This window comes from Homo sapiens, chromosome 3 (assembly GCF_000001405.40).
Source record: "Homo sapiens chromosome 3, GRCh38.p14 Primary Assembly".
NCBI lineage: Eukaryota > Metazoa > Chordata > Mammalia > Primates > Hominidae > Homo > Homo sapiens.
In genome coordinates, this window is record NC_000003.12 from 33,783,375 (window position 1) to 33,805,794 (window position 22,420).

Below are 22,420 nucleotides of genomic sequence, written 5' to 3' on the forward strand. Positions count from 1 at the left end.
CTGGCAGCGAGGAAGGTAAGGAAATAGATTCTCCTCTAGAGCCGCTGGAAGGGAAACAGTCCTGCTAACATCTTGATTTAGGAATTCTGATCTCCAGAACTGTAAGAGAATAAATTTGTGTTGTCTTAAGCCACTAAGTTTGTAGCAATTTTTTATAGCAGCAAAGAAAATCAATATAAATGATAATTTTTTCAGTTTTTTTTTTTTTTTTTTTTTTGAGACGGAGTCTCTGTCGCTCAGGCTGGAGTGCAGAGGCATGATCTTGGCTCACTGCAACCTCTGCCTCCTGGGTTCAAGCAATTCTCCTGCCTCAGCCTCCCAGGTAGCTGGGATTACAAGTGCCCACTATCACACCTGGCTAATTTTCATATTTTTAGTAAAGACAGGGTTTCACCATGTTGGCCAGGCTGGTCTCGAACTCCTGACCTCAAGTGATCTGCCCGCCTTGGCCTCCCAAAGTGCTGGGTTTACAGGTGTGAGCCACCACGCCTGGCCTAATTTTGTTCAGATGTTACAAGTGTCTATAGTCAATCTTCACATTGCCAGTTTGGTTGGTTATAGGATTTCTAGGTTGGAAGGCATTTTCCATCACATTGAAGACACTCTTCCATTGTCTTCTTCCTTCAAATGTTGCTGAGAAGCCCAGAGTCATTTTTATTATCATTCCTTGTACATGGCCTGTTTTTTCTCCCTCTCCAGACACTTAGAACATTATCTCTTTGTCTCTAATGTTCTGATATTTCACAATGTATGGGCCTATAAGAGTAGAAAATTCCACATGTCAGAAACCTGATGCTTTAAAATTCCATAAATATAACCAAAACACAAGCAAAAAATTGGGGAAAATATTTGCAACTTGAAAAATAAAGGGTTATTACTCTTATAATAGAAAGCACTCTTAGAAGAAAAATTCTACAAAAGAAATATTCAAAATAGCCATTTTAAAGAGTACATCTGTAGGTCTAGAACTGAAAGGGAAAAAAAGGAAAAAAGTACAAAAGTGTACAAAAAATCAGCCAAGAAACATATAGAAAAATCCATAGACTTACTAGAAATAAAATTAATGCAAATTAAAACTGTGAGGAACAATTTTTCATCTTTTTAATTGGTGAAGACTAAAAAAAAAACTCAAAATAGCTAATGTTGGTTAGGTTTCAGTACTTTCATACACTGTTGTTAGAAATGCAGTCAACCATCTCTTCTAGATGAGGCAAAATTCCGTAAGCCAGATCAAAAGCTTTAAAAAATGTCCATGTTAGGCCAGGTACAGTGGCTCAGGCCTGTAATCCGAGCACGTTGGGACTGAGGTGGGAGGATCACTTGAGCCCAGGAGTTGGAGACCAGCCTGTGCAACATAGTGAGACCCTGTCTCTACAAAAAATAAAACAATTAGCTAGGCATGGTGGATGTGCCTGTAAGTCCTAGCTGCTTGGGAGGCTGAGGCAGGAGGATCATTTGAGCCCAGGAGTTTGAGGCTACAGTGAGCTATGATTGCACCATTGCACTCTACCCTGGGTGACAGAGTGAGACTCTTGTTTCAAAAAAAAAAACAAATCAGTACTTAGAATAATCAGTACTTTGTTGGAATAATCCAACAAAATAATAATGAATGACAAATGCACATAAAGAGTTAACTACCATCTTGGCCATGTTGTTTACAACATCAAGAAAGTGGAAACAGGTCAGGTGGGGTGACACATCTGTAACCCCAGTGCTTTAGGAGACTGAAGCAGAAGGATTGTTTGAGGCCAGGAGTTAAAGACCAGCCTGGGCAACATAGCGAGACCCCATCTCTACAAAGAGTTTAAAAATTAGCTGGGGATGGTGGTGTCTGCCTGTAGTACTGGCTACTCAGGAGGCTGAAGCAGGAGGATCATCTGAGCTCAGGAGTTTGATGCTACAGTGAGCTATGATTGCACCACTGCATTCCACCCTGGGTGATGGAGTGAGACCCTGTCTCTCTTAAAAAAGAAAAGAAAAGAAAAAAAGAGTAGAAACAACCTAAATACTCAAAAATAGACAATTGGCTTAAGTCACTCCCATGGCAATGGGATGTTTCAGCAGTTTTAAAGCAAATAAGAAGGCCACTAGCCTGAGGTTGTCTCTGCACCCTGAGCCCTTACATAAGCAAGCTGAAGCCTTATTTATTTATTTATTTGTTTATTTATGTATTTATGTATTTTTATGAGATGGAGTCTCACTCTGTCACCCAGGCTGGAGTGCAGTGGCATGATCTCAGCTCATTGCAACCTCTGGCTCCCGGGTTTAAGCGATTCTTCTGCCTCAGCCTCCCGAGTAGCTGGGATTACAGGCACGTGCCACCACACCGGGCTAATTTTTTATATTTTTGGTAGACAGGGTTTCACCATGTTGGCCTAGCTGGTCTCAAACTTCTGACCTCAAGTGATCTGCCCGCCTCGGCCTCCCAAAGTGCTGGGATTACAGGTGTGAGCCACCGTGCCCAGCCCAAAGCCTAATTTAGAGGTATTTCTTATAACTGACTTAAATAGACAAACAAAAATACAGCCCTAACCAATCACAAACAGCCACTGAGTGAATTGGCTATATAACTAGGTGTCTCCCATCAGATTATACCCAAATAAGGCAAACACTTAGCTGTAGCAATTCAGGTAATTTCTTCACTTTGCTTCTGTGTTCAGCCTATAATAGGTAGGTGCTTCCAGAGCAGAGCCCATAACCTCTTTTGGTCTTGGTGCTTCCCAATTCATGAATCATTCTTTTACTCAAATAAATGTGTTAATTTCATTTAAACTTTTTTTTTTAACAGCAAGATATCATATTAAATTTATCATATAAAAAGTGGCCGTTATTGGTAAGAGGTTGACTTGGGGAAGTGAAATGAGATTTGGTGAGAAAAAAAACTCTCTGCACTCTGTCCATCATTTATTAATAGAATGTTTTCTTTCTAGAGATGAACTATTTCTACTTCTAAACATTGAGGAGATACAAAGAAGGGCTTTTGGCTAGATATGGTGGCTCATACCTGTAATCCCAGCACTTTGGCAGGCTAAGGCAGGAGAATCACTTGAGTCCAGGAGCTCAAGACCAGCCTGGGCAAAAAGCAAGACCCCATTACTATTAAAAAAAAAAAAAAAAAAAAAAAAAAAGAGGCTTTCAGCAATGATAGTGATAAAATTACAAAAAAAAAAAAAAAAAAAAAAAGCAACAGTAACTAACATTGAGTACTTACTGTGTTCTGGGCAGCCTGTCAGGTATTTAATGTATTTTATTTAACTCCCATGATAGCCCTTTGGGGTAGGTAGTATTCTTTATCATCTTTAGGTGTGAAGACTGAGGCTTAGAGACGTTGAGTGAACGGCCTAGAGTGAGTGACACAGCTGATAAATATTGTAGTTAGAATTTAAACTCTGGAAGTCAGGATTCCAGACATTCTTATCCACTGGGCTGAACTGCCTCGAATAAGTAAAGCATCTCCGTTAGTGGAGATCCCCTAATAGCCCTCTGTTCTGGGAGACATACCGAGGGATCATTTTAATTAGGTAGATGTAAGGAAACACAGGGGAAGGTTGTAGCTGGACATGTGGGAATTGACAATGAAGCTCTTTTCATCATTTTCTTTGGTACATGAAGTTCAAAGGCTGCTGGGAGAAAGTCAGCAAATTTTCCCAAAGACTAAGCTTCTGGGAAGGCAGTTACTGAGACCCCTGATCACTTCCTTTAGGAGGGTTAATATTGCTATATCACCTCTGGACTGGAATGGCCCTGACCTGACGTGGCAGCAGCAAAAGACAGGAGAAATTCGCCATGGAGAGGGGAGCCTGGACTGCTTACCTGGACTTAACAATCCTGGCAGCAACAACAAGTTTCTAGCTCAGTTCCTACAAATTTTACTCTAGCATCACACATGTGTCCTAGGAAAAAAGCCCTTTGTGTTTGTAACTTTGGAACCATAGATTGTCAGAGCATTTACATTTTTTTTTTCTTGGTGACAGAGTCTCGCTCTGTCAGCCAGGCTGGAGGGCAGTGATGTGATCTCGGCTCATTGCAACCTCCGCCACCCGGGGTCAAGCGATTCTCCTGCCTCAACCTTCCGAGTAGCGCGTGATCTACCTGCCTTGGCCTCCCAAAGTGCTGGGATTACAGGCACGAGCCACCGCGCCCAGCCCAGAGCATTTAAATTTTAATAGCTCCATCCTGCGAAAGGTCGTGCTGTAGTAGATATTCTGTGTCTCAACAGTGACACCTTGTGGGGCAGAGGTAGCAGAGGCTGGGGGCTGTTTGGACTGGAGTAGTTTTCTATCTTTCTTAAAGTCAGTTATAAGCAGGATTGATCTTTTGGACTCTGTTCCTGAACTTAACATGGAAGGACAAAAACACGTAGAAAACATGATGTACTGTGTACACCTAATCAATTTGAATGTTGAGTTTTGATTTCACTCACAATTCATTCATTAAAGATTAAAAGTACAATGATACACTACTTTTCATCTAACAGGTTAATAAATATTAAAAAGTAGGACAGAATTTAGTGTCAGTGAGGGTATAAGAAAACTATCAAAAACTGTTACTGGAAATAAAAAATCGTGCAAAAAATTGGAAGATAATCTATGATAACATATACCCAAATTTAAAATGCACATATTCTATAATCCAGTAATGCCATCATTAAGAATTTAGGAGTGTTGCTGGGCACGGTGGCTCATGCCTGTAATCCCAGCATTTTGGGAGGCTGAAGTGGGTGGATCATGAGGTCAGCAGTTCAAGACCAGCCTGACCAACATGGTGAAACCCCATCTCTACTAAGAATACAAAAATTAGCCGGGCATGGTCGTGGGCGCCTGTAATCCCAGCTACCCGGGAGGCTGAGGCAGGAGAATCGCTTGAACCCAGGAGGCGGAGGTTGCAGTGAGCTGAGATCGCACCATTGATTGCACTCCAGCCTGGGCAACAGAGCAAGACTCTGTCTCAAAAAAAAAAAAAAAAAAAAAAAAGGAATTTAGGAGTGTTTTCTAATGATTTTTTGTTTGTTTAATGTATCAATTAGGATGCAGTCATTTGTAAAGAACAACGATGAAAAAACCCAATTCAAACATGTTTGAACAATGGAGGGGATTTATTAGGCAATGGACCGAGATCCCAGAAATAGAGTGGACTTCACCTGGGGTTTGACTCAGCATCTCAGAGATATCATCGTCCACCTAGTTTCTTTCTAACTCCGTTTTCTGGCTTCTGGGACATCAAACTAATTCCCTATCAAAGTTATAAGATGGCTGACAACAACTCCCAAGGTATAGTGGACATATGTTTTCTTTATGGCCACAAGGCACCCTTGAAAACCTTTCCTATGGAGAGTTCTCCATCTTATAAGTCCTTATTTTCTCAATGTGAAAATCAGAAATTGTTTCCCAGTCTCCCTTGCAGCTCTGTGAAATCTGGTGACATGAAGATGCAATCACCATGCAGAAACCCTCCTGGCAAGAGTGGCAGTACTAGCTCCAGAAGCAGCAGTTGCAGAAGTTCAGGTGAAAGTCCCTAGGGACCAGCACCCTTGCCAGTGGGGTATTTGTGCTCATTGGGAGCAATGGTGGTGTTTTCTTTGGAGCAGTTCTACAATAGGATAAATTGTTGTGTGGCCCTGAAGCCGGATTCTCTGGTCTTCCAGAGAGTCTATGAACTCATTGATATCCTTTAATAAATTTGCTTTCTGCTTAAATTATCCACAGTTCATTTCTATTGTGTGCAAGAACCCTAATACACAGAGATACTTTTTTTCAGCCACATCTAGAGAGTGGGGTAACTTTCAGAAATTCCCTCAAAAGAGCTAAGAAGCTTCCTTCTCTGTTATCTCTGGCAAACCTCTTTTTACATCTCTATAGTCAGAATTGGGTCATTTTTTTTTTTTCTGTACTACTGGGGCTTGAGGACGGGATTATGATAATGATCTAAGGCCTGAGCCACATTCTTATCCCTTAAGGCTTAAGACAAAGAACAAAGAGGGAGAGGCGAGGACACCCAGGGTGAGATCAGGAGGATACTAACTTCAGAGAGGGGTGAATGGGTGAAAGTATATTGGAGGTAGAAGAACCACAATGCCTACCAGACAGAGCAACTTACATCAAACCCTTTGAACTTCCAAGCTTGCTCCTCACATGTGTGAAGAAGTCTGCATAAACCACTATATTATGTTGCTGTTTGTCACCACCTGGAACATCTGGACAGAGTCCCCAGGATAGGATACAACTTCCTTTCCATGGGGCCAGTCACATTCTTTGCTGTCTTGTTCCTTCATTCTGCCTTTAATGAGGGTGGGGTCAATAAAGAAAATGGCAGTAAATTTCTCTTTAGTTTAATGGAAAATTCCTCTGGAAGTTCACCCCTCATTGATGTACTCCACTTCCTTATTTTTCTCCCCTATTCTTAGGAGCCAATATCTCTGCAACAATGCTTCCTTCTTCTCACCTTTCAAAGCAAGACTTTATTCATTCTCTGAACAACCCACCCCTTCCAAATAGATCAGACTATACCCCTAGCGGTATATTTCTCAAAATTTGGAGCCTGTTCTGAGTAATATGCTTTTCAAGCGAATTTTACCCTTAGTACTAGTGACATTTAGGGCTGGATAATATTTTTGCTATGAGAGACTGTCCTGTGCATTGTAGAATGTTTAGAAGCATCTCTAGCTTCTATCCACTAGAGGCTAGTAGCATCCTCTCCCACCAAGTTGTGACAACCAAAAATGACCACTGGAGAGCAAAATTACCCATTTAATAACAAGTAAGCTAGAATAATACTCTGGGGGAGACTGTGCTGGGTGAGAGTAGAGGAGTTCTCTTATATTCCAAGTTAGGGTGGAGAACGTGGGGAACTTTATCCAGGTTTCACCAAAAAGTAAAGGACAGGTGAAGGAACTCACTTCTCTTGTGAGTCATCAATGAACTTCTTTGCTCTCCTGACTGTGCTGCAGGGGACTGCTGAATCACCATCTCCCAAGGACAAATATTAATTTTCATAGAGTACAGCCTAACCACAAGGTAGAAGATACATATTTTCCCATCTGTCCTTCTGTCCTGTAATTTTACAAGGCCATCTCTCTCTTTCTCTCTTTTTTATGAGACGGAGTCTCGCTTTGTCACCCAGGCAGTAGTGCACAATCTCAGCTCACTGCAACCTCTGCCTCCCGGGTTCAAGTGATTCTCCTGCCCCAGCCTCCTCGGTAGCTGGGATTACAGGCGCCTGCCATCACGCCCGGCTAATTTTTTTGTATTTTTATTAGAATTGGGTTTTCACCATGTTGGCCAGGCTGGTTTCAAACTCCTGACTTCAAGAGATCTGCCCTCCTCGGCCTCCCAAAGTGTTGGGATTACAGGTGTGAGCCACCACGCCTGGCCATGGCCACATCTCTTATAATGAGGTATGACAAATTATTATTCAGCACAGACTTAATCCACCTATCTTGCTTCCAAATGTATCTTCTTTGGATCATCCCTGAGTAACACTTTTTAAAATTCCCTTAGCTACTCACAGAGTTGGCCAAAGATAAGAAATTATTACTTGGAAATGTAATCCCATAGTTTCTTTTTTATGATGGTGGTTGCTGTGTTACTTGGTACACAGATATTTTGGGTTAGCTGATACAAAAGTTTGATATTTCAAACTCTTATCTTTATTGTGGCTTTTAGCTACATTTTTTTTTCTGGATAATTTTAGCCTTTAGCATTATGAAATGTCCTTAATTACATTTAAGCCTTTTTGGTCTGAATTGTCTGATATCAAAAGAACGACCCTGCACTCCTATTGTTTCCATTTGTCTGGTGTTTTAGTTAGTTCAAGCTGTTATAGATTGGGTGGCTTCAACAACATTTATTTCTTACGGTTATGGAGGATGTGAAGTCTAAGAGCAGGGTACCAGCATGATTGGGTTTTGGTGAGTGCCCTCTTACTGCTTTGCATATAGACACCTTTTTACTGTATCCTCACATAGCAGAGTGAGAGAGGAAGCAAGTGCTGTTGCGTCTCTTCTTAGAAGGGCACTAATCCTATTCATGAGGGCTCTGTGCTCACAATCTAATTACCTTCCAAAGGTCCCACCTCCAAATACCATCGCATTTGGAACTGAATTTCAAGAAGTGACTGTTGGGGGTACACATTCAGTCCACAGCACCTAGTATGTCTGTCTATTCCTTTCTATTTAGCCTTTCTGAATCATTTTGTTTTAGGTATGTTGCTTGCATGTACCATAATGATAGTGTATCAGTTAGCTTCTGTTGCATAACAAACCATGCCAAAACTTAAAAACCAGCCATTTATTTAGCTCATAATTCTGTAGGTTGGCTTAACAGTTCTGGTCTAGATTGGCTCAGTTGATCTCTCAGGTGCTTGCTTCTGTGTCTGAGGTCATCTAGGGTGTTGCCTGGTTGTTGGATGATCTAAGATAGCCTTGTTCATATGTCTGACAATTAGCAGACTGTTGGTTAGGGCTAGGAGAGTGACTCAACCACGTCTCTCATAATCCAGCAGGCAAGACGGTACACATGGAGGTCACGGGGTTGCAAGTGCAGTAAGAGAGGACAAACCCTGATGACTGAAGTGTCTGCTTGCATCACAACTGCTAATGCCCCATTGGCCAAAGCAGCTCACATCAACGACCTAGACTTAAAGGGTGCAGAAAAAGACTCCACTTCCTGGTGGGAAGATCTGCAATGTCACACTGCAAAATCATGATAAAGGGAGAGGAAGAGTTTGTGGCCAATTTTATAATCTATCACATTGGGTTTTCTTTTGTGAGTCATTTTAAAAGTCTTTTTCTTTACTTCCTTTTTTCTTTACCTCCTTCTGCTATTCGATTTTTTAACTTTAAGTGACATTCATTGATATCATTTAAATATCTTTTGACTCCCATCAATTGCCTATTTACCAATAAATTTACTTATTTTACTTTTCCTTTCTGATGACTGCAACTTACTATGAAATGGATCCAAAAAGCAAGGTAGATTTATGGGTGGATAGAGGGAAGATTAGATGGACAAATGTGAGATAAAGCATGCATAGTAAAATGTTAATGTTAGAATCTAGGTGGTGGGTAGGTGAGTGTTTATTGCAAAACTCTATGCTGTGGCTGAAATTTTAAAAATGAATTGTGAAGTTGAGGCAGGAGAATCCCTGGAGTCCAGGAGTTTGAGACCAGCCTCGGCAACATAGGGATATTCCGTCTTTACAAAAAATAAACAAATAAATTAGCCGGGCATGGTAGTGTGCACCTGTAGTCCTAGCTACTTGGGAGGCTGAGGTAGGATAATTGCTTGAGCCTGGGCCTGGAAGGTTGAGGGTGTAGTGAGCCATGACTGCACCACTGCACTCCAGCCTGGGCAAAAGAGCCAGACCCTGTCTCAAAAAAACAAAACAAAAAAACAAAGAAAAGAAGAGAAAAGAAAAGAAAAGAAAATATTGGAAGAAAAAGAACACAGGAGCCAGCTTGAGGGTGTTCATATCAGTCAAATCTTGGACAATCTGAGCGTCAAAATAAATAATAATAACAGATTATAATCTACCAAATTAAATAAAAATCTATGGGTCCATGCTGGTATAAACATATAAATGAATAAATAAGGGAGAAAAGAAAATTCTTCTTTCTAGAATAATGTCAGCTAATAGATATAGGCAGAATAATGGATAAGAAAATTACCATTTTGCAATCATCACAGAAATATTAGATTCATGGAAGAATCATCGAAGTATGCTAAAACTAGTGGAAGAAAGTTTAATGTGGAACAGTATGTTTAATAGCCTCGAATTATATTCCCACAAATTAGTTGTTAATTACAAAGGGAAAAGAATAATTTTTCCAACGAGAACCCTGGTGGTTTTTATTCTATCTAATCCCTTCAACCTTTTTTTTCCCTCTATTGGATCTTCCTCCTGCGCCCCTCCACCCTCTCCTTATTCTGGGCTAGTTGTACTTTCTGCTTGCTGCAGAGCTGCCATTTTAGGACTTTCCTTAACTGCTTTCCTAGACCTCCTCCTATGAACTGTTTGCTGAACTACCTTATATAAGGGTGGATTAAAGACCTCTGTAAATATATACAATAGATTAATAGATTGGTCATAGAATTCTCTTGAACTACATTTTGTTTGGCACACAGTATAAGCTCAAAAAATATCTGCTGAATAACTTAGTCTGGTCATCCAAGTATTACCAAAACTTTGTACCATGAAGCTTGTAGGATTTGGTTTTCATTTAATGTATGGTTATAAATATTAAATAAGTGAAGACAAATGAAATTACATACATTTTGTATATATGCTTACTTTTTCTTTTTAAAAATTTATTTATCTTATTACAGTGTTCCACACGTTCAGAGAAACTTCTCTATTAACGAACTACAGACATGATATCTGAAAGTAATCTTTATGCATAGTTTTCTTCTAAGAAACTCAAATGTGTTTTATATGAAGAACCACTAATAACCATTTACTTACTACTCTCTGCTACTAAGTCTTGAACAGAGAGCTAATGTATGCCTAAGGGAAAACCGATTAAAGAAACGTTCTTATATAGCTTCAAAAACGAATTAACAACGATAGTCAGGGTGAAAGGGGAAGGTGCTCCTCTTTAACTTGAAGTGCTTAAACAAATATTGGATTTTAGTGAAAACAGGAGTCTTGAAATGTATCCTTAATGTCCAGATACTCACAAGATAACTTTCAATTATCCAGAATTATTTTTTACTCTATAGAGCAATTCTTCCAAAATAGTGCATAGATTTATTCTCAGAAGTTATCTTATTCAAGTAAAGTGACTCTCATCCAAGAGAGACACTGGTAGCAAAGGGCAGTAGTTAGTTAAATAGCAGTGAAACTGATATTAGAGAACTGCCAACTGATGGAAATTTAATCAGCAGTATATGGAATTGGAATGGGCTTATACAGGGAGTAATTCTGAATATAAGGTGTTCAGCAGTTTTCGTTTCTTTAAAATTTTTTGTACAAAGTGGAAAAAACTTACACACCCATATTTGAAAAATGGGTAATTTTTCTTTCATTCATTATTATTTTTTAAAGTTAAATAAATTAAGGAGACAAATAGTTCTCTATCGCATGTTGTAAAAAATCCAGGGCCCCTGTCCCTTACCATTGCCTTTTTTCCATTCCTTACATGAAGTGTGTCTTCCCAGGTGACACGGGAGCCATCCTTGATGTTTTTTGTTTCATCAAGTCTATTTGGGTGTTCCTATTCTATGCTTCCTCCCCTCTAGATTCCCGCCTCTACCTCATACTCTAGGTTTATCCTGAGTGTGGAGTAGGGAAGTGTGAATACCACATTTACATTTTCCTTTTGTTCTTCACCTTTTCTCTCTTAGACTGTTCCGCTCAGCACCAAAAGGACTTTCTTTCTTGCACTGCAGGAACTTCCCTTACATCAAATCCTTATACTGTTTACTCTCATTTATTGTAAAAATACTACAGTCTTCTGAATCTGACTTCTGTAAGCCTCTTTTCTCCTTAATAACAAAGACTCCTCCAAAAATCATAAGTGCTTACTTTCAGGCTATCGTCTCCATGTGGACTTGAAACACACTATTTTGAAACTCAAAGCTGCCTTCAGCAGGGTTCTCTCCATTCGAAGAGGCAACTATTTCCACTGGTTCAATCAGTGGGGTTAATGATAGGCCCAGAACCAGGAATTTTCAAGAAGGAAAGTCCACTGACTTAATATTCTCCAAATGTACTCGTTATGCTGAGAATACACACTAAGAACATATGGCATTTCATTACATAAATGAAAAACATCATCATAAGCAAGTTTGGAAGCAGTGAAACACACCCTTGGAAGGCATTATAAATGCTCCCTAATATCTGATTCTCCCTTCCCAGTCCCATTGCAGTTTGGTGGAGCCATGTGAAAGGTTCTAGCTAGTGAAATGCAAGTGGAAGTAGGAGGGCTGAGGTAGTGACAAGCTGCTGCATGATGCTACAGATTTCCTCTTCTGCAGTGAAAGTGGAATCTCATGTTGGGATGGCAGAGTTACAAGATCAAAGTGGTCTGGATTGCTCAGACACTGGTTGGAGGACAACTCTAAGCCTGTTCCATATTAGACTTTGTGTGAGCAAAGAACAAATGTTTATTAGTATCTTTGAGTTTAAAATTGAAACTGAGATTTTGAAATTGTTTATTGTCAGAACATAAGCTAGCCAATCTTGACTAATATACCATAATTCTTTGCTTATTGGCCTATTGCCTAATTAGCTGGAGTGCTTGTTGTTGGTGAAAGTGTGTTATTTTGGAAGTAGAGAATATATTTTATATATATATATTTTTTTTTTTTACAAGGGTGAAACTTATTTAATGATATTTATTGAATGCCTGCTATACCAAGTGCTAGAGATGCATCAGTATACAAAACACACAATTTTTGCCCTCATGGAGCTTACATTTTAGTGGGGAAGTCAGATAAAAATTATATCAACAAACAAAATACTTGCAAGTTAGGGTAAGTGTTATGAAGGAACTAATGGCTGCGCTAGAGGTTAACAAGGGAGGGAATCTACTTTAGATAGTATGATGATGAGGAGAGGAGACCTTTCAACTGAGATATGAAGAAAGGGAGAAAACATTCTAGGTCACATGAGGCAAGAAAGATCTTGGTGTGTTTGAGAAACTAAAAAGACCATTGTGACTCAGTGGTAACAAATGAGGAACAAGAGGCAAAATATGAAGTTGCAGAGAAAGATCATCATGTTGTGGCAGGGAGTTTGGTTTTCATTCCAAGCCATCAGATAGTATCACCTTAATCTTCCTTTGGTCAATGCCACAAAACTAACCACATCTATGTTAACTTTCTTTTCTCCGCCATCTGCCTCAACAAATGTCATGTCCCTCATCTTTCTGATGGCTAATCACTCCCTTTGTATCCTCCCTCCTCTGGTTACCCTTTCTCCTCTTTTCATATACTTTGCTTCTTCGTTATCTTCCCAATGGGTCAGTCCTGTCAACCAACCTACAAGACACCACCCATCCCCCACCCTCTTCCATGGGTTATCAACTGGTAATGATTCTACTAACCACTCAGATGTTCAGGCCCCAAAACCAGGACCTATCTTGACCACTCTCTTTTCTTTACTTTCCTATGCAGTTCATTGGTAAATTCTTCAGTTTTAAACTCAAAGATATTATCAGTTTGGTTCACTCTTGCTAATGTTAGCTTTCCTGATTTCGTCTTGATTTCTGAAATGGTCTCATGATTTGCCTCCTTGCCTCCATTCTTTCCTTCCTCTAATTTTTTCTTTATGCATCAGCCAAGGGTGGCTACTTATTTTAACATAGAATAGCTTAATTAAAATAAACAAAAATTTTTATAAATTGTGGTAAAATAGGCCGGGTGCAGTGGCTCACGCCTGTAATCCCAGCACTTTGGGAGGCTAAAGCGGGTGGATCACTTGAGGCCAGGAGTTCGAGACCAGCCGGGCCAACATCGCGAAATCCAGTCTCTATTAAAAATACAAAAATTAGCCAGGCATGTGGTGTGCACCTGTAGTCCCAGCTACTCAGAAGGCTGAGGCAGGAGAATAGCTTGAACCTGGGAGGTGGAGGTTGCAGTGGGCTGAGATTGTGCCACTGCACTCCAGCCTGGGTGACAGAGTGAGACTCTTTCTAAAAAAAAAAAAATTGTGGTAAAATAAACTTTTACTATAATGAAAGTAGTCTATGTGCTGCAAAAGTTACAATGAAAAAGATAGGCAAACACAAAGAAAAAAATACACATTTCCACTTCCAAAGATTACCAATACTAACACCTTAGGGTATAAGCCCACTATTTTTTTAGTTGTACATAAATACATATATGTGCATTTTTAAACCAAAATGAGATGCTGTAACATACTATTTCGTGACTTGCTCTTTTCAGTTAATGATCTTTTCCATGGCAATACAGTTCTATTTTATCCAATACTCAGTCCATCTACATTCATATTTCTTTAATGGTCCTGAAAATGCATTTTATAGACAGTCTGTTCAAACCAGGATCCAATTCAAACTGTTATGTCCCTTAAATTTCTTTTCATAAAGCAGTTGCTTTTATCATGACAAATTGTTGAAGAGATGGGCCAGTTATCCTGCAGAATGTTTCACCTTCTGGATCTGTCTAGTTACTTCCTCTGGCATCATTTAGTTTGTTCATCTATCTGTTGTATTTTTTATAAACTGTGTTAGATGCAAAGGCTTGACAGATTCAAGTTAAATATTTTTGCCTGGAATATACCATGATGATACTGTATACTACATCCCATCAAAAGACAAACTATCCGATTGAGCTACAACGTGGCCTTTAAAAAATGTAAATTATAAGTGTATATAGCTTCCTCTGCATTTATTATACAATACTAAACAAATTCTTCAACTTGGACAACAAGTTTCTGAATGATTTGATGCCTGCTTACTCATCCAACTTTATTCCATCCCATTCTATTTGTTTTTAAAGGTCTTGTCACATGTTTCGTTTCTAGTCCTGAAACATGGTTAAGTGCTTGCCTCCTAGGGCCTCTGCCGCAGGCTTTTGGTTTGGAGGCTCTCCTTTGCCACTCCACCCCTCTCCACTCTTCTCCTCTTCTGATATCAAGCATCTTCTCAAATTACAGGTGTCGTTTTTAATTTATTTAAAATTTTGTTCTTTCTACAAAACAGCAACCAGAGACACAGGTTCATTTTCAGTTAACCTACTCGGAGAAAACCTACTTTATCTTATTTAAATTAGGGTCCTCCAAGCGATCTTAACATCTCCTAAGTCCCAAGCACCCTGTTTTTTTCCTGATACTTTTTCCGTTTACCTTAAGGTCTGTGTCAACCTGACAGTAAGCTGCACGATGGCAGGGGTCTTGCCTACTAGGTTCCCTGTGCACAGCAGCCCGTCAACAGTAGTTGAATAAACATCATAGGTCACAATAACCCTGGGACTGCCTCTTGGGGAGGTAGCCGCAAACTCTCGCAGGTGGCAGTGACACCAGTACTTCTCCGGGGGGTTGTTCGAGTGGAGGAATACTCTTACGTGAAAGTGCTCAGTACACCACTGCGGCAGGAAGGAGGAAGGGAAGAATTCCAGATGGGGAGAAAGTAATATTTTGCAGCACAGTACAGGGTAAACTGGGTCCAGGTGGGCGTAGCCGCCGCGACACCTTCACGTGACCGCGGACAGCTTAAGGACCCCGCATCCAGTGCGCCTGCGCTGGAGCTCCCGGAAGTTGCCGGACCCGGAACGCAGGCGGAGCGCAAGTCTGTCAGCCAGTCAGTCCGCCAGTCCGCCAGCCCAGTACCTCTCTCTCCTCGGCCCTCGTAAGCTGTCCGCGGTCTGTTTGGCCCGAACGGCGGCGGAGGCGCTGATCATGGCGACATTCATCTCGGTGCAGCTGAAAAAGACCTCAGAGGTGGACCTGGCCAAGCCGCTGGTGAAGTTCATCCAGCAGACTTACCCAAGCGGCGGGGAAGAGCAGGCCCAGTACTGCCGCGCGGCGGAGGAGCTCAGCAAGCTGCGCCGCGCCGCAGTCGGTCGTCCGCTGGACAAGCACGAGGGCGCGCTCGAGACGCTCCTGAGGTGGGCGCGGGGCTGGGAGTGGGTAGGTTGTCTGCCAGCCGTCGCTCGCCGCTCCTCTTCCCGTCTCCCCCCTTCCTTCAATCCTGTAACCTGGGCGGAGCCGCCCCGTCCCGGCCTGACCAGGCGCGTAGGTGTGGTCTGCATTCTTTGCTGGTGAGCAGGACCCGCCCTGCAGGCCCGCTGTGACTGCCCGCTTGTCCTGCCTGCACGTCTGCTCTAGCCCTTGGTCGGCGAGGGCTCCGTGGATCAGATACCTGGGAGCAGCAGTCTGCCCTGTACTGATCTCTTTTGCCACATTTACTTAGAACTAGTCTTCACTTTTTTGGGTCTCTAACTGAAGCTTCCCCTTTCGCCCCATTTTTCCATCACTGTCTTTCTTGGGCCACATTTTGATTTCATAATAGTAGTTGCTTGAAGGCAGTGGGGGAAGTGGGGGAATTGGGACACTGGACCAAATGTCTGATCAGCTCATCACATTGTCCACATGAAATGGACCGTCTTCCTCAGTTCAAAATAATCAAATGATAGATGGAGAATTCTGAAAGTTAGGAGCTACAACTATTTGAAATAAAACTCTAGTTACATAGTTGAACCGTTCAAGGTAGGTTGTTTAAAAGCAGTTTGTTCACAAACAGATATATACACAGTAGAGTAAATTTGTTATTTTAGCAAACGCTTATTTAGCTCATGCTGATTTAATGAGGGTTCCTTTCATGATACTTAATAGTTATAAGAACATTTTTTACGATTTTATAGTTAAACATTTCTTTTGCATACCTTGTTAATCTCGTTTTCTCCGTATAGTATATTCTACTTGTTTCACAGGAGAATCACAATTGTATTCCAATCCAAGTAGCAGAAACCCAGGCTAAACTAGCTTGAGCTAAGAAAAGACTTATTCTGCCGGGCGCGGTGGCTCACGCCTGTAATCCCAGCACTTTGGGAGGCCGAGGCGGGCGGATCACGAGGTCAGGAGATCGACACCATCCTGGCTAGCACGGTGAAACCCCATCTCTACTAAAAATACAACAAATTAGCCGGGCGTGGTGGCGGGTGCCTGTAGTCCCAGCTACTCGGGAGGCTGAGGCAGGAGAATGGTGTGAACCTGGGAGACGGAGCTTGCAGTGAGCCGAGATCGCGCCACTGCACTCCAGCCTGGGCGACAGAGTGAGACTCCATCTCAAAAAAAAAAAAAAAAAAAAAAAAAAGTAAGACTTATTCTGCTAACTGAAAAGTCTAGGGATATTCCTTCCTTAGCTTTAGGTATCACTGGAGATCGTCTTGCCTCCGTGATGCTTCCCTCGAAAGCTTTGTTCATGTATTGAGAGGGATGGCTGTAGTGTAATAACAATCGTCCGCAACACTCAGTATCTTACAGAAGGGAGTGCTTTTCTCCTTAGCTCTGGTGGAAGTCCATGGGAGGCTCCTGGGTTTGTTTGCACCCATTTATGATGGTGGGAAATGGGCTAAGTTAATTGCCCTTATCTGAGTCATCCAGCCGGTTTAATTTCTCCTTACCCCATGGATCAAAGCAAGATGAGTCCGGACTGGGGAAGGGTTGGTTCTCCGAAGGAAGGGGTACTGAATAGATTGCTCAGAGGAATTAAGACCCCTTGGTGTCAAATTTTAGAGCTACAACTGTTGGGCTGCAAGGATCATTAGTCTAATAGCATAAGCATTTTTTTTAAAGTTAACCTAGAAATACTTAGCCATTCTTTAGAATTAACATAATTAAACAATTTCAAGGTAATTTTTATGTAGGCATGAATAGCATTCAGTGAGGATTTTCCATTAGTAATATTAAGAAAACATAGTTGTGGTATAATGAGCCCTGTGATAAAAATCTTGTTGAATATATCAAATTTGGTTCCAGCCCTCAGATTTGGGGTCTTCAGAAGCACTTGGTGCATGGGTTTTAAGCTAACAGACATGGGAGGTTGGTGGATAATGGTTTGGATACGGTTCTCCTGTCAACTTTAAAACTTAATTCATTTGTTCCTTCCTTTATTCTTTTTACCAGACTTAAATGTGTGAACTGTTCCTAGGTAGTGGACCTGTTGTAGATATAGTCTCTTTGAAACTAACCATGTTTCTTTAGTCACCTCTGTATAATCCCCTCCTGCCACATTAATTCAACAAATATTAAGTATTTTCACTTTTTGGGCTTCTAGAGGGGTTAGGGTAAGCTTGGAGATATTACTAAAGTTTATAATGGAGGTAGGTACAAAAGTTTTGTAGGTATATACGCTGTAAAATTAGATGTGAATCAGTTGTGTGATGTTCATTCAAATCCGGCAGAATATCTTATTTTTAATAATTATGTTTGGATAATTGTGTAAACTTAACATTAATTTTTTAACTTAATGAACTTTTTAAACTAATGAACTTTGAAAAACAGAGTTTAAACTAATTCCTAAATAATTGAAGCCAGCTTGATAAGTCCTGATATGCAGCTCCATATATTGCTCCAGTGATAGACTTGTTTTCTTATTACTAACTTGTAGGTGTTCTATTAAAATTTCCTAAAATATACATTTATGCATATTATAATAATGAGAATGAGTACTTAAAAACTCATTTGTTCTGGGTGTGGTAGCATGCACTCATAATTCCAGCTGAGGCAGAAGGATCACTAGAGCCCACGAGTTGGAGACCAGCCTGAACTACATACTGAGACGCTGTCTCAAAACAAAACAAAACAACAACAACAAAAAACCCTTTTATATGATACTTCTTCCTTTATAAAGTGGCTTTTACTAAAAATTGATTAGACCTTGGTAAATGGTGACCTAGGGTGATCAAATGGGAACCCTGCTGGTTTTTTATTTTTATTTTGTATTTTATTTGAAGCTCCAGATATACCATTTACCAGCATTGTGTAATTTCTTTTGTGGTGATCAGTTTCTTTAGAGAGAAAGCTTCTAGTCTTCCATGAAAAAGTCTGCTTATCAGCTTTCTAAATTTTATCCTGGGGAATGGAGGTTGGGGATCTTAACAATCATGTATGCAGTCTATCAGGTACATCTATTTTTAGTATGACACCTGCATTAGGGTTAGGTTCATTTCTGTGTGGTAGATCCCAAATTATCTGAGTTAAGATTTTATTTTGTAAAAAGTTGGCAGGTAGGTAGTTCTGGTAGCCCAGGGCTGGTGTAGTGTTTCTGTGGAGTTAATTGGGGCTCAGATTCCTTTCAGCTTTCTGCTGTTTGAAACCTAGAATATTGTTCTCAGGTCCAGGTTGCAATCATATCCAAGTTCCAGGTAGTAGGATGGAGAAAGGCACGGGGCTCGCCCTTTAGGGTGTTTCCTGGCAACTGTTCCACAACACCCTGCCTATATGTTACCGGCCATTTTGTGTGTCCTTCTGATAGGATGCTAGGAAAAGGAATTTTCATTATGAGCAGCTGTATACTCAGCTAAAGGGACACAGTTTTGTTAATAAGGAATAGGATAGACTGATAATGATGTAGTCAATTAGCACTCCCTACCCCACTTAGCAGTGCTTGATCTCCACCTTAGTTATATTTGATATCTCTGACATTTTTTTCTTTTTTCTTTTTTTTTTTTTTGAGGTGGAGTTTTGCTCTTGTTACCCAGGCTGGAGTGCAGTGGCATGATCTCGGCTCACCACAACCTCCGCCTCTCGGGTTCAAACGATTCTCCTGCCTCAGCCTCCTGAGTAGCTGGGATTTACAGGCATGAACCACTCTGCCTGGCTAATTTTGTATTTTTGGTAGAGACGGGCTTTCTCCATGTTGGTCAGGCTGGTCTGGAACTCCTGACCTCGGGTGATCCACCCGCCTCGGCCTCCCAAAGTGCTGGGATTACAGGCGTGAGCCACTGTGCCCGGCCAATCTCTGACGTTTTTTTGAGAGTGAACCTACCTTCAGAGTAGAGGATCTGGGAGCCTGAAGTTTTCTTTGAAGGATTTTCAACCATACCTTCTCGTTCCAGCCTCACATTGAACTACCTTCAGAGGTACCTCATGTTTCTTAATTCAGATCCTTTTCTGGCTTCTCTGGCATGATTTGGCTTCTGCTTTGGCTCCCTTCCCTCTTAGCCAGTTAGATTTTGGCTTTCTCTTTTTCATTCACTTTTCACCTTTTAGTAAATTTTGTTGAAACCTCTTATATCCTGTGTGTCATTTCCCGTTCTTTTTGTCCATGTTCATGTACATCTTTTACATTTTTAAATTCTTGTTTTAGTGGGTTTTGGCGGGGAGCAAAGAAGGATGTTTATTCAGATTTATTTGTTTAACTGTAAGAGGAACTTGTTTGCATTTTCAGCTCTCCACAGTGCTTGTAACAATTTACATTCTCATCAGCAGGTATATGGGAGTACTTTATTCTTCCATATCCTTGCTAATACGTACTGATTAATAATTTAATTTATTGCTTTTTGCTAAACTGATGGGTGAGAGATAGTACCTTTAGTTTGCATTCCTCTTATTTTACTGAGGTTGAACAGTTTTTGTTTACTGGCCACTTTGTTTCTTTTTCTGTGATTGCTTGTTCTTTTCTTTTGCCCATTTTCTATTGAGTTGTTTTTTCCTTACTAATTTGTAGGAGTTGTAGCATTTTCTGGATATTTATACTTTTTTCATTAGGTATGTTGCAAAAATCTTCCAATCTGTTTCTTGTCTCTCAACTGTGTTTATTCTATCTTTTGTCACATGGAAGTTCTCCCAAAAGTGTTGTCATCTCATAATCTGTAGTTAACATTTTTTTTCTTATTCCTAATGTTGTGCATGTGTTATGTGTGATTTTCCTCCCTCAGATTTGCCAAAGGTTTGGAGCCACCTTTTCTTTGTTTAAAACCAAGGCTTTTTGGTTGGTTTTCTGCCCTTGTCATTCATTTTTTTAAAAAATGTTCTTTGTTCCTTTTTTCTATCTTTTTGTATTGATTGGTTAGTTTTCCATCTTTTTGGTTTTTCTAATATATTTTAGGACTGTGTATTTTTTTCTCAGTCTGTATTGGTTGCATCCTACTGACTTTTTCATTTGTAAAATGAAGTTGATGGAATACTCTTTTAATTTCTGAAATATTTTCTACATGGTAGTGTTTTATAGATCAGTAAAGAAAATGTTCTGTTTTACTTCATAACTGTTGTTTGGATTCTCGTTGTTGGTTTGGTGGTGAACATACTCTTTGCAGAACTTTTCCTTGTCCCACGGCCATGAAAATTTAGGCTTGCAAACGGTTTGAAGGGTGAGTAAAGCAGGGTTTTATTGGGTGAAAAGGAAGAAAAGGGGGAAACAGGAACTCTCACAAAGCTAGAGTCCCAGTTAGAGCACATCCCGCCTGCAGCTTGAATCTCAGGTTCCGCACAGGAAGAGGAGGGGCCAGTCTCCTCCCTATGGAATTTCCCAAGGCTCCACCTTAGTGAACAGGCTGGTTGGAATTTCTCCAGGGACCCCCTCCCACCTGGCTGTCTCAATATTGAGATAATATTAGCACAATGACGTTGCTACAATTTGTTAACCAAATACTAATGGAGAGTCTGTGTGAACCATACTGTAGGAGACAATGTGGAGGATATAAAGATATACTTGGTCCCTGGTCTCAAGGAATATCTGTAATTGGCAGACCTTTTTGGCTCCGTAATTTTATTCCACATAGGTGAATAAACATATGGGAAGATTTAAAATCTGATTTGTTTTTCTGTGTTTTGACTTTTCTGGTGTTTAGTAAATCTTATCAGGACTATCATCATTCTGTGTATCTGTAAGAAGAATCTTCTGAGGTGCTTTACACAGGAGATTTAAGCCCACAAAGCTATCTTTATGGCAGAACTGGACTAAGATCCTGACCTCTTGATTCCCCAGCTAGTTACTTTTTGCCATACTCTCTGCTGCAGTAGTGCTTGATTAATGATTTTTCATGTGTTAAATTGGGTGAAGAAAGAAGTGTGAAAATAAAGTTCACAAAGAATCTATGAACTCCAGCCAATATCTCTGGCCCAGCTTTTCTGATTCTCTTGTTTCATCCTCTAGTTGGTGGTCTGGAGTTGCACATCCCTAAATACAGATTGCAGCTGAATAGGGTTGTGTGAATTAGCATTGCAGTATTATTTTGGCCATGTGGATTGGTTGTTCTTGATCCCCACACCTTCCCCTTAAATTAAAAAATTCTTTTCCGGCCGGGTGTGGTGGCTCATGCCTGTAATCCCAGCACTTTGGGAGGCTGAGGCGGGTGGATCACGAGGTCAGGAGTTCGAGATTAGCCTGGCCAAAATGGTGAAACACTGTCTCTACTAAAAATACAAAAAGTTAGCCGGTCATGGTGGCGGGTGCCTGTAATCGCAGCTGCTCGGGAGGCTGAGGCAGAGAATTGCTTGAACCCGGAAGGTGGAGGTTGCAGTGAGCCGAGATCACACCACTGCACTGTAGCCTGGGCGACAGAGTGAGATTCTGTCTCAAAAAAAAAAAAAAAATTTTTTTTTCCTTTTTAAAAATTAAATATAGAATTTAATCTTTATTTAAAAATTTTAACATTTTTGTTTTTTTAAGACAGGGCCTTGGCTCAGTTGCTCAGCTGCCCAGGCTGGAGTACAGTGGCGCCACAATAGCCTACTGCAGCCTCGATCTCCTGGGCTCAAGCAATCCTACTTCAACCTCCCAAGTGGGTGCATACTACCATACCTGGCTAATTATTAAATTTTTAGTAGAGAGGAGGTCTTGCTGTGTTGTCCAGGCTGGTCTTGAACTCCTGAACTCAAGCAGTCCTCCTGTCTTGGCCTCCCAAGTGCTGGGATTACAGGTGTGAGCCACCATACCTGGCCAATTTTTTTTTTTTTTTAAACTAGAATTTCTTTTTTTGTTTTTTGAGATGGAGTCTCACTCGGTCGCCCAGGCTAG

The 22,420-nt window shown here is 40.7% G+C and overlaps 1 protein-coding gene and 1 long non-coding RNA gene across 7 annotated transcripts in view, besides 5 other annotated features; one reads left to right on the forward strand and one right to left on the reverse strand.

Annotated features, from left to right (window-relative positions):
• Positions 4,087-4,146: a silencer, noted in NCBI's record as "silent region_14192". NCBI's record gives its function as "represses an Ori minimal core promoter by ATAC-STARR-seq in GM12878 lymphoblastoid cells {active_cell/tissue: GM12878}" and the evidence as "EXISTENCE:reporter gene assay evidence [ECO:0000049][PMID:35858748]".
• Positions 5,875-6,772: an enhancer, noted in NCBI's record as "NANOG-H3K4me1 hESC enhancer chr3:33830741-33831638 (GRCh37/hg19 assembly coordinates)". NCBI's record gives its function as "activates a minimal SCP1, AML or CMV promoter by ChIP-STARR-seq in naive H9 embryonic stem cells {active_cell/tissue: H9 hESC(naive)}" and the evidence as "EXISTENCE:reporter gene assay evidence [ECO:0000049][PMID:30033119]".
• On the reverse strand, positions 10,270-15,145 carry PDCD6IP-DT (PDCD6IP divergent transcript). 2 transcript variants are annotated; one of them, NR_183731.1, is made up of 2 exons: positions 15,021-15,145; positions 10,270-14,648 (listed from the first exon to the last, which is right to left on the reverse strand). It is a non-coding gene; the product is annotated as a PDCD6IP divergent transcript (long non-coding RNA). The 2 variants fall into 2 exon arrangements; NR_183730.1 differs by having other exon boundaries at positions 14,803-15,145.
• Positions 15,123-15,472: an enhancer, noted in NCBI's record as "active region_19652". NCBI's record gives its function as "activates an Ori minimal core promoter by ATAC-STARR-seq in GM12878 lymphoblastoid cells {active_cell/tissue: GM12878}" and the evidence as "EXISTENCE:reporter gene assay evidence [ECO:0000049][PMID:35858748]".
• Positions 15,123-15,952: a biological region, named in NCBI's record as "H3K27ac hESC enhancer GRCh37_chr3:33840285-33840818".
• Positions 15,256-22,420, forward strand: part of PDCD6IP (programmed cell death 6 interacting protein) — a 71,074-nt gene continuing 63,909 nt past the window's right edge. For 3 of the 5 annotated variants that reach the window (NM_001162429.3, NM_013374.6, NM_001256192.2), the window contains exon 1: positions 15,256-15,563. In NM_001162429.3, the coding sequence (NP_001155901.1) occupies positions 15,355-15,563 (209 nt within the window). In that variant the 5' untranslated portion in view covers positions 15,256-15,354. Of the gene's footprint in view, positions 15,564-15,588; positions 16,165-22,420 lie in introns of those variants that run through there. The other 2 variants (XM_011533252.2, XM_047447042.1) reach the window with 1 other exon arrangement.
• Positions 15,419-15,952: an enhancer, noted in NCBI's record as "H3K27ac hESC enhancer chr3:33840285-33840818 (GRCh37/hg19 assembly coordinates)". NCBI's record gives its function as "activates a minimal SCP1, AML or CMV promoter by ChIP-STARR-seq in naive H9 embryonic stem cells {active_cell/tissue: H9 hESC(naive)}" and the evidence as "EXISTENCE:reporter gene assay evidence [ECO:0000049][PMID:30033119]".